The 16330-nt window shown below is 41.6% G+C and overlaps 1 protein-coding gene across 10 annotated transcripts in view, besides 4 other annotated features; it reads left to right on the top strand.

Annotated features, from left to right (window-relative positions):
• The window catches only part of MYO5A (myosin VA), a 221768-nt gene that overhangs the window by 44384 nt on the left and 161054 nt on the right, over positions 1–16330 (top strand).
• Positions 1966–3234: a silencer, noted in NCBI's record as "S8 fragment used in the reporter construct". NCBI's record gives its function as "represses activity of a beta-globin enhancer-driven SV40 promoter in transfected K562 erythroleukemia cells {active_cell/tissue: K562}" and the evidence as "EXISTENCE:reporter gene assay evidence [ECO:0000049][PMID:30886051]".
• Positions 2678–2827: an enhancer, noted in NCBI's record as "active region_9431". NCBI's record gives its function as "activates an Ori minimal core promoter by ATAC-STARR-seq in GM12878 lymphoblastoid cells {active_cell/tissue: GM12878}" and the evidence as "EXISTENCE:reporter gene assay evidence [ECO:0000049][PMID:35858748]".
• Positions 6044–6543: an enhancer, noted in NCBI's record as "NANOG-H3K4me1 hESC enhancer chr15:52770321-52770820 (GRCh37/hg19 assembly coordinates)". NCBI's record gives its function as "activates a minimal SCP1, AML or CMV promoter by ChIP-STARR-seq in primed H9 embryonic stem cells {active_cell/tissue: H9 hESC(primed)}" and the evidence as "EXISTENCE:reporter gene assay evidence [ECO:0000049][PMID:30033119]".
• Positions 6544–7045: an enhancer, noted in NCBI's record as "NANOG-H3K4me1 hESC enhancer chr15:52769819-52770320 (GRCh37/hg19 assembly coordinates)". NCBI's record gives its function as "activates a minimal SCP1, AML or CMV promoter by ChIP-STARR-seq in primed H9 embryonic stem cells {active_cell/tissue: H9 hESC(primed)}" and the evidence as "EXISTENCE:reporter gene assay evidence [ECO:0000049][PMID:30033119]".

Below are 16330 nucleotides of genomic sequence, written 5' to 3'. Positions count from 1 at the left end.
TCTCAAAAACAAACAAACAAACATTGAAATCAGAAAACATTTGGGGGAATAAGGAAATACCTGCAATTTTTGATTCTTTCTACCAAGTTGTTTTGTTAATTCAGGAACATATATGGCATTTCATATAATGATCACTTTGAAATACTTGTATCTGCAAAATCCTGTGAAGAGTGAAACAGAAGTCAGGATTAAAGTTAGTGTTGATTTCATCTTCTGTCCTTTTTCTGGTAATAAAAAGGATTAGGAGGGCAAAATACTTTTGTCTTTAATATCTACTCTATCCTCCCTGGCTACTGGAACAGATCCACATTCTTATTTTCTAAAAACAAAAAGGAAGGGTGTGTGTATGTGTATTTTCTACCATAGCTACCTAACTAGCCAGGGCTTCTTGTGTTCTAGTTCCTTGCATTCTAATTCACATATATTTTCAGGAAAATGTAATGCATACCTGTAATACGTTCAACTTGCTACAATTATCATAGAATACTTTTGGTTCTGCTCTTATAGTCATTTAGTGATTGATCTAATCACTTTAATCTTTCTTAACATGAGGATCCTAAGATTAGTTACTTTTCCTGGCCTACTTGATCATGTGTCAGAGCTCAACAATTCCAGTGCCCCCTAACAAATGTTAGTGGTCTCTCTAGTTCTGACTGACTTCCCAGGGATACTTCTAGAGCCCCAGCTACCAGATGCTTCCTGACTGGGAGGTGGACGGCTTGCAGTTGCTTTAGGAAGGGATTGGCACTGCCAGAAGCAAGGCTTTTGGTCAGAATGATTCATTTCCACAGTGTGACATTAGCTGTATAGAGCAGACTGTTTTTCTAAATCGTTGTGTTATAATAATAGAAGTTCAGGAACCACAATTAGGGCTGTCATAAGGGTGTGGACATAGCCATAAGCTAAGGAAGAAGTTCATCTAGTCTGGGGATGGACCTTCGCATTCTTGCCAGGATATCTTTTAACATAACATTTGCTCAATTAAAATACCTTAATCCATAGAATGTTGGGGAGTGGGACATGTTTTTCCAAATTATGGATTGGAATGGATGGGGAAGGAAAACTGAGTGCTGAGAATGGGTTTTTTAGAAATTTCTAGGCGTGTCCTTGCACCCATAGTTTTTTGTTGTTGTTGTTGTTTTTAAATATATTGCTGAGTCTCTACTGCCTCCCAGATGTCACTTTTTCTCTTCCCTACTCCTGAAATTTCTAAGGCATTGCTACCATCAGTGTATCATAAATTAATTCACAGTGCTTGCCATACTCACGGTCCCTTCAAAGGGTAACTGTACCCCTCACTCTCCCTGTTGACCTGGGGCCCCTGCTAAGAAACCAAATGATCCAGCCAAGCTGATTGGACAAGGGGAGGCCCTGACCTGAAAATGGCTCACTCGTAAGGGCCTTTTGATGTGGCCTGGTCTCAAAAGGGCAGTCTAAACAGAAGTAGCAATGTTTAAGTGAGCCATTTAGGTGTCCTGTTTTGGGGATTTCTGTAACAAGTATGGAAAAGATAAACCAGAGGAGTGGTGTAGACACATTGACAGTTCTGACCCCATTAGCAGTGGTGTACCAGAAAAGCCACCAATTCCTACTCATGGGCTTCCAGGGCCTGCCTTGGAACCAACACTTTGCTTCGGTTTTTTCCTCTATGTGACTTAGCTCTTCTCTGGTTCCTTATCCTGTTGTTTCCTCTGTATTCATATGTGTGCCCTGCTCATCCTTCACCTGAGTGAGCTTGAGTATCAGTCCATTGCAATGATAGAAGCCTAATCACAGGAGACCTTAGAAACCTGGAAGAGCCACGGGCAGGTTGGTAGTCCAGGGGCATCAGGGGATAGAGTCACTATTTAGGGCCAAGAAATTAGGAATCTGGGCCTCAGGCTCCTTGCCTTGAGCTGCCGCAACTCCTCTACTAATGGACCGGATTCACTTAAAAAAATTTTTTTAAAGCCATTTTAGGTTCACAGCAAAATTAAGCAGATTGCCCTCCTCCACAGTCTTACCTTTTATTAAAAAAAAAAATTATGAACAGGAAATTAATGTTAGGGATATCAAATGGAATAAATTTCACCTTGTTGAGTTGTTTTTGATGTGTGATGAAAGTTTTTAGAATTTATAGCCAGTACTTATGGTGTCTGTATTGCTTCTGTTTTTGTAAAATTATTGGAAATCTACTCTGGCCCAGGATTCCTGTGTGTTTCAATATGTTCAACATGGAGTTGTTAGAGTATGGATCATGTTGACTCCTCTTTTTCCCAGCTCTGGCTATCCTCTTCCCTCTTCAGCAGCAGCAAAGGGCCCAAGCCCACTCACAAAAAACAACTACCAGGAATATGAGTTCTATTCCCTTCTGGATCAGGGTTTCTTCCACATGATGCCATGAAGAAGGTCAGGTAGAGTCACAGATACTTGGTTTATTTATGTTAAACGAAAAAAAGAGATGGCCTATAGGAGAAAAGAGATGGTTGCTATATCCAGGAAGTTCTCAAGCTCACAGACCCCGTGCATGCCTCTTTCATCTTTCTCCGTATGATCTTTGCCTGTGTCTGTGCAGATACCACTCTAGCTCTTCTCTCTCTTGTGGTCACAAGAATATAAAAACTGCCTAGCCACTTCCTCTTTATTATGCCTGAGTCTCCAGTTATCATGCTGAGTGAGCCAAGTTCTTGCTGACTGAATCATGTTCTTATAATTCTACTGATGTAGAATAATACTGATTATATCCTGTTTCTACTAACAAAATGGACATACAAAATTTGTCCAACATGCATAACCACATACTTATACCTTTTCCTTCATGAAAGCTCTAGCCAATTCTTTCATCAAGTATTTACTGAGTACTACTATGTTCCAGTCCTTTTATGATCTGAGCCCTGGGAATCTCTCTGGCCTCTCATTTCTTGCTACAGTGATTCTAAACTACTTGTTATTCCTCATGTGTATTTTATCCTGTTCCACATCTTTATGTCTTCATTCATGTCTGGAACATGAATTTGTTCATTTGCTTGGTTAACTCCTATTTGTCCTTCTAGCCCAAATCCATGTCCCCCTCCTTTAGGAAGTTACCATGTACTCTATTTTTCTTTGCACAAGTTGGGTGAGGTTTGCAAACTCCACTGGGCTCCCATGGCACCTTGTACATTCCTCCATCACAGAACTTTGTGTGTCATATTGACAGTGTCTGTGTGTGTCCATCTCATCAGCAGAACTTTGAGGGAAGGGAAAACATCTTACCCATTTTTGTTTCTGCAATTCTTAGAACAGTGTATGAAATAGAATATACACATACTAAATACTTGTGGAACCAAACAGAATTAGTTAGGGTATAAAGTAAAATAGAAAATCTTATAGAATCTCTAGGCAATCTTTGTTTGCATTAAAATCTGTTTTTCATTCCTAGAGACCATTTGCTTAGATCTTCAGCAAGGACATACCTAGCATCTGTTGCAGCAATGTGTCAATCATGAGTTACAGGCACACCATCTGTTTTTTACTGCACCGGTGCTGACTGGGATTTTGGCAATGCAGATAAATGTGCTTGCACCTAATAATGCTAGTTCTAACCTCCAAAGTCAGGCAGTAGACATGATTATGAAGACTCATAATACCTACATATAGTGTGGTCCAGTGCACTACCAAATGCCATGGCTCTAGCAAAGAATCTGGTATCTTAGATGGGTAGGCATAAGGGAACCCAACCATGAATCCAGCTGCAAGTGCAATGCTGTATCCCAGGACTAGACCTGTGCCTGTTGGTACTCAGTAAGTACTTGTTAAATGAATGACTGCATTTGGGTAAATGGATTTAGCTATATGTAAGGAAGCTATGGTTTGGCACTTTGTAGCACTGTAGATTTTGACTGTGCTGGAGGCATGGCTAAGGACTGAAGCTAGGGGAGATAATGCTAAGGAAGAATTTTCTCATGCGACTCCTCCTTATACCACACTCTCCAATGATAACTAGCACTGCCAAGGAAAAGAGAATGTGGGAAACCAAGTTGTGTTACAATGAAATGGAATTTTAGTTGAGTCCTGATTTTGCTTTCCTCTTGCCATTTGTGCAGCTGTGCAACTTTTTTCAGATCCATTATGTTTGCTTCTGAAGGGAGAGGGGAGCCAGAGAGGGCCTCAAGGATCGGGGATCAGGACATCCTTGGTCTGGTGTGGGCTCTGGTCTGAGCCAGCTTTGTTCTTGGAGCTCTAGTTTTCTTGGAAATGGGGTGTTTGGACCAGATCATCTTTAAGCCCTCTTCTGATTCTGAGATTTTACATTCGCTAAACAATTGTAAGATTTGAAATAGTTACGGGTTTTCCTAAATTCTGCAGGTGTTTCCTGGATGAGTTAAAAGCTGACTGTAAATAGATCAAATTGTAGATGGTGTAGTTAAGTTTCTTTGCGTTTTAGCTAGAGACTTTGTAGATGTTTGCCAGTCAAGTTTCTATCGCAATTAGTATTTAGTTCTTATTTCTTCCTTCACATATGAAAAATCAAGTAGACATGTTGTAGAAAATTAAGGGAACTGATTTCTTTTTAGTTTTATTGAGGTATAATTGACAAAAATTGTATATATTCAAGGTATACGATGTGATGCTAGGTGGGGATGTAGGGTTTGGGAGAGAGGAGACAGCATTGCTTAGATCAGTCACGTTCAGAGACCTCTTTACATAATCTTTACTTCCATCACAGGTGCAGATAGGTGGCTTCAGTTCATATCTCTTCAGGAATACACACACAAACTGGTGGAGAAGAGCAAAGGCATGCTGAGCTGGAGCCCAGAGCAAGGCCAGACTCACTGTCCAGCTCTTTTCTCCTTTACTCAGAGAGGTCTAAGAGAGGTGTGGCTCTTTCATGATTGGGCAGAATGATAAATGTTCAGATGCCATGGACTTTCAGTATGGTTCACAAAGAGTGGAAACCACAAATGATAATCTGTGAATTCCAAGCTACTGTATTATATGGATATATGAATATAGTTTATGAATATATATTAAACAAAAATAGGATCATACAATGATGATGTTTTACAGCTTGCTCTTTCTCAATTAACAGTATCTTTCCATGTCAGCACATACAGACCTAACTTTTTTTTAAGTATTCCATTATATAGATATACCACAACCTCTAAACTATGCAGTTGACCTGTGAACAACCTGGATTTGAACTGCATGGGTCCACTTACACATGGATTTTTAAAAATAAATATATTGGAAAATTTTTTGAGATTTGCAACAATTTGAAAAAATTCTCAGATGAACTATGTAGCCTAGAAATATCGAAAAAAATAAGAAAAAGTTATGTCATGAATACATAAAGTATACGTAAATACTAGTCTATTTTATCATTTACTACCATAAAATACACATAAATCTATTATAAAAAGTTAAAATTGGCTGGGCGCAGTGGCTCACTCCTGTAATACCAGCACTTTGGGAGGCTGAGGAGGGCAGGTCACTGGAGGTCAGGCATTCGAGACCAGCCTGGCTAAGATGGTAAAACTCTATCTCTACTAAAAGTACAAAAATTAGCCAGGTAATTCCAGCTACTCAGGAGGCTGAGGCAGGAGAATTGCTTGAACCCAGGGGGCAGAGGTTACAGTGAGCTGAGATCACGCCACTGCACTCCAGCCTGGGTGACAGAGCGAGACTCCATCTTAAAAAAAAAAAAGTTAAAATTTATAAAAACTTACACAGACATAGACTGCACATGGCACTGTTCACAGTTGAGAGAAATGTAAACAAATATAAAGACATAACCACACAAAATTAACTGCAGTACACATAGTACTACAGTTTTACTGTAGTAATTCTGTAGCCATGTTGTGTTGCTGTTGCTTGAGTGAGCTAAAAAGGTTGTGAGTATTCCCTTAAAATGTGTGACACTAACCATCCCCGTGTGAACAGTTTGTCTCTCCAGTACATTGCATATCACAGCAAAAAGTGATCTCACGCTTCTCACGTATTTTTCATTGTGTTTAGTGCAATACAGTAAACCTGACAACTTAAGGCAAAAGGCAGATGAAGGATCTTAAGCTGAAGAACTTAATGCCAGCAAAGGATAGTTTGATAATTTTAGAAAGAGGTTCACTCTTTTAAAAATGTCTGGAGAGGGGAAGGTTCCAAAATGGCTGAATAGGAACAGCTCCAGCCTATAGCTCCCAGCATGAGCGACGCAGAAGACGAGTGATTTCTGCATTTCCAACTGAGGTACCGGGTTCATCTCACTGGGGCTTGTCGGACAGTGGGTGCAGGACAGTGGGTACAGCCCACGGAGCATGAGCTGAAGCAGGGTGAGGCATCGCCTCACCCAGGAAGCACAAGGGGTCGGGGAATTCCCTTTCCTAGCCAAGGGAAGCTGTGAGAGATGGCACCTGGAAAATTGGGTCACTCCCACCCTAATACTGCACTTTTCCAACGTTCTTAGCAAACTGCACACCACGAGATTATATCCCGCGCCTGGCTCGGAGGGTCCCACACCCATAGAGCCTTGCTCACTGCTAGCACAGCAGTCTGAGATTGAACTGCAAGGTGGCAGCGAGGCTGGGGGAGGGGTGCCCGCCATTGCGGAGGCTTGAGTAGGTAAACAAAGCAGCTGGGAAGCTCGAACTGGGTGGAGCCCACCGCAGCTCAAGGAGGCCTGCCTGCCACTGTAGACTCCACCTCTGGGGGCAGGGCATAGCTGAACAAAAGGCAGCAGAAACTTCTGCAGACTTAAACGTCCCTGTGTGACAGCTTTCAAGAGAGTAGTGGTTCTCCCAGCATGGAGTTTGAGATCTGAGAACAGACAGACTGCCTCCTCAAGTGGGTCCCTGACCCCTGAGTAGCCTAACTGGGAGGCACCTCACAGTTGGGGCTGACTCACACCTCATACGGCCGGGTGCACCTCTGAGACGAAGCTTCCAGAGGAATGATCAGGCAGCAACATTAGCCGTTCTGGAATATTTGCAGTTCTGCAGCCTCCACTGGTGATACCCAGGCAAACAGGGTCTGGAGTGGACCTCCAGCAAACTTCCAACAGACCTGCAGCTGAGGGTCCTGACTGTTAGAAGGAAAACTAACAAACAGAAAGGACATCCACACCAAAATCCCATCTGTACGTCACCATCACTAAAGACCAAAGGTAGATAAAACCACAAAGATGGGGAGAAATCAGAGCAGAAAAGCTGAAAATTCAAAAAATCAGAGCGCCTCTTCTCCTCCAAAGGAACACAAAGGAACGCAGCTCCTTGCCAGCAATGGAACAAAGGTGGACGGAGAATGACTTTGACGAGTTGAGAGAAGAAGGCTTCGGAAGATCAGTAATAACAAACTTCTCCAAGCTAAAGGAGGATGTTCAAACCCATCGCAAAGAAGCCAAGAACCTTAAAAAAAGATTGGACGAATGGCTAACTAGAGTAAACAGCGTAGAGAAGACCTTAAATTACCTGATGGAGCTGAAAACCATGGCACAAGAACTACGTGACGCATGCACAAGCTTCAGTAGCCAATTTGATCAACTGGAAGAAAGGATATGAGTGATTGAAGATCAAATGAATGAAATGAAGCAAGAAGAGAAGTTTAGAGAAAAAAGAGTAAAAAGAAATGACAAAGCCTCCAAGAAATATGGGACTATGTGAAAAGACCAAATCTACATCTGATTGGCGTACCTGAAAGTGACGGGGAAAATGGAACCAAGTTGGAAAACACTCTTCAGGTTATTATCCAGGAGAACTTCCCCAACCTAGCAAGGCAGGCCAACATTCAAATTCAGGAAATACAGAGAACACCACAAAGATACTCCTTGAGAAGAACAACCCCAAGACACATAATTGTCAGATTCACCAAAGTTGAAATGAAGGAAAAAATGTTAAGGGCAGCCAGAGAGAAAGGTCCGGTTACCCACAAAGGGAAGCCCATCAGACTAACTGCAGATCTCTCGGCAGAAACTCTACAAGCCAGAAGAGAGTGGGGACCAATATTCAACAATCTTAAAGAAAAGAATTTTCAAGCTAGAATTTCATATCCAGCCAAACTAAGCTTCATAAGTGAAGGAGAAATAAAATCCTTTACAGACAAGCAAATGCTGAGAGATTTTGTCACCACCAGGCCTGCCTTACAAGAGCTCCTGAAGGAAGCATTAAACATGGAAAGGAACAACCAGTACCAGCCACTGCAAAAACATGCCAAATTGTAAAGACCATCGATGCTAGGAAGAAACTGCATCAACTAACGAGCAAAATAACCAGCTAACATCATAATGACAGGATCAAATTCACCCATAAGAATATTAACCTTAAATGTAAATGGGCTAAATGCTCCAATTAAAAGACACAGACTGGCAAATTTGATAAAGAGTCAAGACCCATCAGTGTGCTGTATTCAGGAGACCCATCTCACGTGCAGAGACACACATAGGCTCAAAATAAAGGGATGGAGGAAGATCTACCAAGCAAATGGAAAACAAAAAAAAAGGCAGGGGTTGCAATCCTAGTCTCTGATAAGACAGACTTTAAACCAACAAAGATCAGAAGAGACAAAGAAGGCCATTACATAATGATAAAGGGCTGAATTCAACGAGAAGAGCTAACTATCCTAAATATATATGCACCCAATACAGGAGCACCCAGATTCAAAAAGCAAGTCCTTAGAGACCTACAAAGAGACTTAGACTCCCACACAATAATACTGAGAGACTTTAACACCCCACTGTCAATATTAGACAGATCCACAAGACAGAAAGTTAATAAGGATATATCCAGGACTTGAACTCAGCTCTGCACCAAGTGTACCTAATAGACATCTACAGAACTCTCCACCCCAAATCAACAGAATATACATTCTTCTCAGCACCACATTGCACTTATTCCAAAATTGACCACATAGTTGGAAGTAAAGCACTCCTCAGCAAATGTAAAAGAATAGAAATTATAACAAACTGCCTCTCAGACCACAGTGCAATCAAACTAGAACTCAGGATTAAGAAACTCACTCAAAACCACACAACTACATGGAAACTGAACAACCTGCTCCTGAATGACTACTGAGTACATAACAAAATGAATGCAGAAATAAAGATGTTCTTTGAAACCAATGAGAACAAAGACACAACATACCAGAATCTCTGGGACACATTCAAAGCAGTGTGTAGAGGGAAATTTATAGCACTAAATGCCCACAAGAGAAACCAGGAAAGATCTAAAATTGACACCCTAACATCACAATTAAAAGAACTAGAGAAACAAGAGCAAACACATTCAAAAGCTAGCAGAAGGCAAGAAATAACTAAGTTCAGAGCAGAACTGAAGGAGATAGAGACACAAAAAACCCTTCAAAAAATCAATGAATCCAGGACCTGGTTTTTTGAAAAGGTCAACAAAATTGATAGACTGCTAGCAAGACTACTAAAGAAGAAAAGAGAGAAGAATCAAATAGATGCAATAAAAAATGATAAAGGGGATATCACCACTGATCTCACAGAGATACAAACTACCATCAGAGAATACTGTAAACACCTCTACACAAGTAAACTAGAAAATCTAGAAGAAATGGATAAATTCCTGGACACATACACCCTCCCAAGACTAAACCAGGAAGAAGCTGAATCCCTGAATAGACCAATAACAGGCTCTGAAATTGAGGCAATAATTAATAGCCTACCAACCAAAAAAAGTCCAGGACCAGACGGATTCACAGCCGAGTTCTACCAGAGGTACAAAGAGGAGCTGGTACCATTCCTTCTGAAACTATTCCAATCAATAGAAAAAGAGGGAATCCTCCCTAACTCATTTTATGAGGCCAGCATCATCCTGATACCAAAGCCTGGCAGAGACACAACAAAAAAAGAATTTTAGGCCAATATCCCTGATGAACATCGATGCAAAAATCCTCAATAAAATACTGGCAAACTGAATCCAGCAGCACATCAAAAAGCTTATCCACCATGATCAAGCGGACCTCATCCCTGGGATGCAAGGCTGGTTCAACATACTCAAATCAATAAATGTAATCCATCATAAAAACAGAACCAAAGACGAAAACCACATGATTATCTCAATAGATGCAGAAAAGGCCTTTGACAAAATTCAACAGCCCTTCATGCTAAAAACCCTCAATAAATTAGGTATTGATGGGATGTATCTCAAAATAATAAGAGCTATTTATGACAGTCCCACAGCCAATATCATACTGAATGGGCAAAAACTGGAAGCATTCCCTTTGAAAACTGGCACAAGACAGGGATGCCCTCTCTCACCACTCCTATTCAACATAGTGTTGGAAGTTCTGGCCAGGGCAATTAGGCAGGAGAAAGAAAGAAAGGGTATTCAATTAGGAAAAGAGGAAGTCAAATTGTCCCTGTTTGCAGATGACATGATTGTATATTTAGAAAACCCCATTGTCTCAGCCCCAAATCTCCTTAAGCTGATAAGCAACTTCAGCAGTCTCAGGATACAAAATCCGTGTGCAAAAATCACAAGCATTCTTACACATCAATAACAGACAAACAGAGAGCCAAATCATGAGTGAACTCCCATTCACAATTGCTTCAAAGAGAATAAAATACCTAGGAATCCAACTTACAAGGGACATGAAGGACCTCTTCAAGGAGAACTACAAACCACTGCTCAATGAAATAGAAGAGGACACAAACATGGAAGAACATTCCATGCTCATGGATAGGAAGAATCAATATCGTGAAAATGGCCATACTGCCCAAGGTAATTTATAGATTCAATGCCATCCCCATCAAGCTACCAATGACTTTCTTCACAGAATTGGAAAAAACTACTTTAAAGTTCATATGGAACCACAGAAGAGCCCACATTGCCAAGACAATCCTACGCCAAAAGAACAAAGCTGGAGGCATCACACTACCTGACTTCAAACTATACTACAAGGCTACAGTAACCAAAACAGCATGGTACTGGTACCAAAACAGAGATATAGACCAATGGAACAGAATAGAGCCCTCAGAAATAATACACATCTACAACTATCTGATCTTTGACAAACCTGACAAAAACAAGAAATGGGGAAAGGATTCCTTGTTTAATTAATGGTGCTGGGAAAACTGGGTAGCCATATGTAGAAAGCTGAAACTGGATCCCTTCCTTACACCTTATACGAAAATTAATTCACGATGGATTAAAGACTTAAATGTAAGACCTAAAACCATAAAAACCCTGGAAGAAAACCTAGGCAATACCATTCAGGACATAGGCATGGGCAAGGACTTCACGTCTAAAACACCAAAAGCAATGGCAACAAAAGCCAAAATTGACAAATGGGATCTAATTAAACTAAAGAGCTTCTGCACAGCAAAAGAAACTACTATCAGAGTGAACAGGCAACCTACAGAATGGGAGAAAATTTTTGCAACCTGTCCATCTGACAAAGGGCCAATATCCAGAATCTACAAAGAACTTAAACAAATTTACAAGAAAAAATCAAACAGCCCCATCAAAAACTGGGCGAAGGATATGAACAGACACTTCTCAAAAAGAAGACATTTATGCAGCCAACAGACACATGAAAAAATGCTCATCATCACTGACCATCAGAGAAATGCAAATCAAAACCACAATGAGATACCATCTCACACCAGTTAGAATGGCGATCATTAAAAAGTCAGGAAACAACAGGTGCCGGAGAGAATGTGGAGAAATAGGAACACTTTTACACTGCTGGTGGGACTATAAACTAGTTCAACCATTGTGGAAGACAGTGTGGCAATTCCTCAAGGATCTAGAACTAGAAATACCATTTGACCCAGCCATCCCATTACTGGGTATATACCCAAAGGATTATAAGTCATGCTGCTATAAAGACACATGTACACGTATGTTTATTGAGGTACTATTCACAATAGCAAAGACTTGGAACCAACCCAAATGTCCAACAATGATAGACTGGATTAAGAAAATGTGGCACATGTATACCATGGAATACTACGTAGCCATAAAAAAGGATGAGTTCATGTCCTTCGTAAGGTCATCAGTGAAGCTGGAAACCATCATTCTGAGCAAACTATCGCAAGGACAGAAAACCAAACACTGCATGTTCTCACTCATAGGTGGGAACTGAACAATGAGAACACAGGGACACAGGATGGGGTACATCACACCGGGGCCTGTTGTGCGGTGGGGGGATGGGGGAGGGATAGCATTAGGAGATATACCTAATGTAAATGACAAGTTAATGGGTGCAGCACACCAACATGGCACATGTATACATATGTAACAAACCTGCACGTTGTGCACATGTACCCTAGAACTTAAAGTATAATAAAAAAAAATGAAAAAAATGTCTGGATAGGGCCAGTCGCGATGGCTCAAGCCTGTAATCCCAGCACTTTAGGAGACCGAGGTGGGCCGATCACGAGGTCAGGCGATCGAGACCATCCTGGCTAACACGGTGAAACCCTGTCTCTACTAAAAGTACAAAAAAATTAGCCGGGCGTGGTGGCTGGTCCCTGTAGTCCCAGCTACTTGGGCGGCTGAGGCAGAAGAATGGTGTGAACCTGGGAGGCGGAGCTTGCAGTGAGCCGAGATCCTGCCACTGCACTCCAGCCTGGGCAACAAGAGCGAGACTCCATCTCAAAAAAAAAAAAAAATGTCAGGATAACAGGAGAAGACGCTTCTGCCGACCAAGAGGCAGCAGAGGAGTTGCCAGATGCCATTAAGAAAATCACTGAGGACCAGAAACAGTGGCTCATGCCTGTAATCCTAGCACTTTAAGAGGCCGAGGCAGGAGGATTCCTTGAGCCTGGGAGTTTGAGACCAGCCTGGGCAACATAGGGAGACACTGACTCTACAACAAATTAAAAAATTCGCCACGCATGGTGGTGTGTACTTGTAGTTCTATCTACTCAGGAGGCTGAGAAGGGATGATCACTTGAGTCTGGGAGGTTGAGGCTGCAGTGAGCCATGAATGCACCACTGCATGTCAGCCTGGGGCAACAGAATGAGACCCTGTCCACCCCACCCCAGCTCTCCCCAAAAATAAAATCATTGAGGAGAAAGGATATCTGCCTGAAAGAAGTTGCTTTTTTTGTTTTTGTTTTTTTGTTTGGGGTGTGTGTGTGTGTGTGTGTGTGTGTGTTTTAGAGACAGAATCTGGCTGTGTTGCCCAGGCTGGCCTCAAGTTGCTGGGCTCAAACGATCCTCCTACCTCAGTGTCCCAAGTAGCTGGGACTACAGGTGCACACTACCATGCCTGGCTAAACAGATTTCCTTTTTCTTTTTCTTTTTTCAAATGAGACAGAGTCTCACTATGTTGCCGAGGCTGGTCTCAAACTCCTGGGCTCAAGCGATCCTCCCACCTTGGTCTCTCAGAGTGCTGGGATTACAGGCGTGAGCCACTGCACCTGGCCCCGAACTGATTTTTAATGCACACAAAAGTGCCCTATTCTGGAAAATAATGCCACAAAAGACATTTACTAGTAAGGAAGAGAATTGAGTACCAGGATTTAAGGCAGGAAGGGACAAGATAACTGTACTATTTTGTGCAAATGCAGTCAAGTTTATAATCAGGACTATCTTTATCTATAAAGCTGCTAATCCATGAGCCTTGAAGGGAAAAGATAAATACTAGCTGCCAGTCTTTTAAGTGGACCCCAAGAAGGTCTGGACAACAAGAACTCTTTTTCCTTTCCTTTTTTTTTTTTTTTTTGAGATGGAGTCTTGCTCTGTCGCCCAGGCTGGAATGCAGTGGCGTGATCTCGGCTCACTGCAACCTCTGCCTCCCGGGTTCAAGCAGTTCTCCTGTCTCAGCCTCCCAAGTAGCTGGGACTACAGGCGCCTGTCACCATGCCCGGCTAATTTTTGTGTTCTTAGTAGAGATGGGGTTTCACCATGTTGGCCAGCCTGGTCTCGAATGCCTGACCTCGAGTGATCCGCCCTCCTTGGCCTCCCAAAGTGCTGGGATTACCGATGTGAGCCACTGTGCCCGGCCAAGAACCCTTTTTCTGAATTGGTTCCATTGATGCCTTGTCCCTGATGTGAGGGAATACCTTGTCAGTAAGGAATGGCCTTTTTTTGAGGGGGGATGGAGTTTCACTCTTATTGCCCAGGCTGGAGTGCAATGGTGCGATCTTGGCTCACCACAACCTCCACCTCCCAGGTTCAAGGGATTCTCCTGCCTCAGCCTCCCGAGTAGCTGGGATTACAGAGATGCGCCACCACGCCGGCTAATTTTGTGTTTTTAGTAGAGACGGAGTTTCTCCATGTTGGTCCGGGTGTTCTCGAACTCCCCACCTCAGGTGATCTGCCTGCCTCGGCCTCCCAACGTGCTGGTTTTACAGGCGTGAGCCACTGCGCCTGGCCCAAGGATGGCCTTTTAAAGTTCCTTTGATATTGGGCAATGTCCCTGGCCACCTAGAACCCTATGAATTCAACACCAAAGCTATCAAAGTGGTCTACTTGCCCCCAAACACAGCACGTCTAATTCAGCCTCTAGATCAGGGGGTCATAAGAACCTTTAAGCTTCATTACACATGGTACTCTGTGGAAAGAATTGTCAATGCTATGGAAGAAGACCCCCAACAGAGGGAACGTCATCAGTGTCTGGAAGGATTACACCATTGAAGGTGCCATTATTGTTATAGAAAACGCTGTGAAAGCCATGCAGCCCAAAACAATAAATTGGTGCTGTAGAAAATCGTCCAGATGTTGTGAATGCCTTCGTAGGATTTACAACAGTGCCAATCAAGGAAATCATGAAAGAGATTATGGATGTGGCAAAAAGGGTGGGGAGTGAAGAGTTTTGGGCTATGAATCTTGGAGAAATTCAAGAGCAAATAGACACTACACCAAAGCAATTAACGGAAGCCAACTTGATGGAGATGAGTATATCTGAACCAGTGCCGGACTGTGAGAAAAAAGATACAGAAGTAGCAGTGTCAGGAAGCAAATTGACATTAGACAATCTAGCAGAAGAGTTCTGATTTTTCAAGACTGCTTTTGACTTCTTTTACATGAACCCTCCTATGATTTGGGCACTGAAACAAAATCAAACAGTTGCAGAAGGATTGGTACCCTTATAGAAACATTCTTAGAGAATGGAAAAGCAAAAAAGACAGAAATTATGACGTATTTCTGTAAAGTTACACTAAGTGTGCCTGTTTCTCCTGCCTCCCCTTCTGTCTCCTCTATCTCTGCTGCCTCTGTCATCCCTGAGGCAGCAAGACCAAGCCCTCCTCTTCCTCCTCCTCCTCAGCCTACTCAGTATGAAGATGACAAGGTGAACACCTTTATGATTCTCCACTTCCACTTACTAAATAGTAAATATATTCTTTTCCTTTTGATTTTCTTAATAAGTTTCTTTTCTCTAGCTTACTTTATTGTAAAAATATGGTATTTTAATACATATACAGAATATGTGTTAATCAACTGTTTATGTTATCAGTAAAACTTCTGGTCAATAGGAGGCTATTAGTAGTAGTAAAGTTTTTGGGGAGTCAAAAGTTACACACAAATTTCCAACTGTGCAGGGGATTGGCACTGCTTACCCACATGTTGTTCAAGGGTCAACTGTATATTATTATAGTTAACCTTTACACTAATATACATATATGAATTAGCCTTTGTGTAATTTCCAATTTTTCACTTTTACAAACAATGCTGCAGAACATTTTTAGAAATAATTATTTGTATTTTTTAGTATCTCCGTGGGAAAATTTTATATATGAACTTTCTGATTCAAGGATATGTATATTTTAAAAACTTTTGGTTTTATTGTAAAAATAGTACTTACTCATGAAAAAATGAGAAATATGGAAGTATGTAAAGTACAAAATTAAAGGTTCCCTCACCACCTATTTCAGTATGCATCCCTGAAATATGTATTTCACATTGTTGAAGAAATTACCAAATTGCTCTCTCAAAGGTTGTGCCTGTTGATTCCATCACCAATATATGAAAATACCTGTTTGTCCACTTTCTTCCTAACACAGGTTATTTTCAATCCTTTAAATATTTTCAAATTTAATTTGCAACTTTTAAATATTTTGTTATTATGTTTTATAGAGACAGGGTCTGTCTCTGTCACCAAGGCTGGAGTGCACTGGCATGATCATAAATCACTACAGCCTTGAACTCCTGGGCTCAAGTGGTTCTCCCACCCCAGCCTCCCAAGTAACTGGAACTACAGGTGCACACCACCACACCCAGCTAATTAAAAAAAATTTTTTTTACATTTTTGTAGAGACGGGGTCTCACCGTCTTGCCCAAGCTGGGCTTGAACTCCTGGGCTCAAGCAGTACTCCCACCTCAGCCTCTCAAAATGCTGGGATTATAGATATTAGCCATTGTACCTGGCCTAATACTGTATTTTAAATTTGCATTTGCTTAATTATTAG

Source organism: Homo sapiens, chromosome 15, assembly GCF_000001405.40.
Source record: "Homo sapiens chromosome 15, GRCh38.p14 Primary Assembly".
Taxonomy (NCBI): Eukaryota; Metazoa; Chordata; class Mammalia; order Primates; family Hominidae; genus Homo; species Homo sapiens.
The sequence above is the reverse complement of the archived record's forward strand: the minus strand, read 5'-3'. Positions and strand labels throughout refer to the sequence as shown.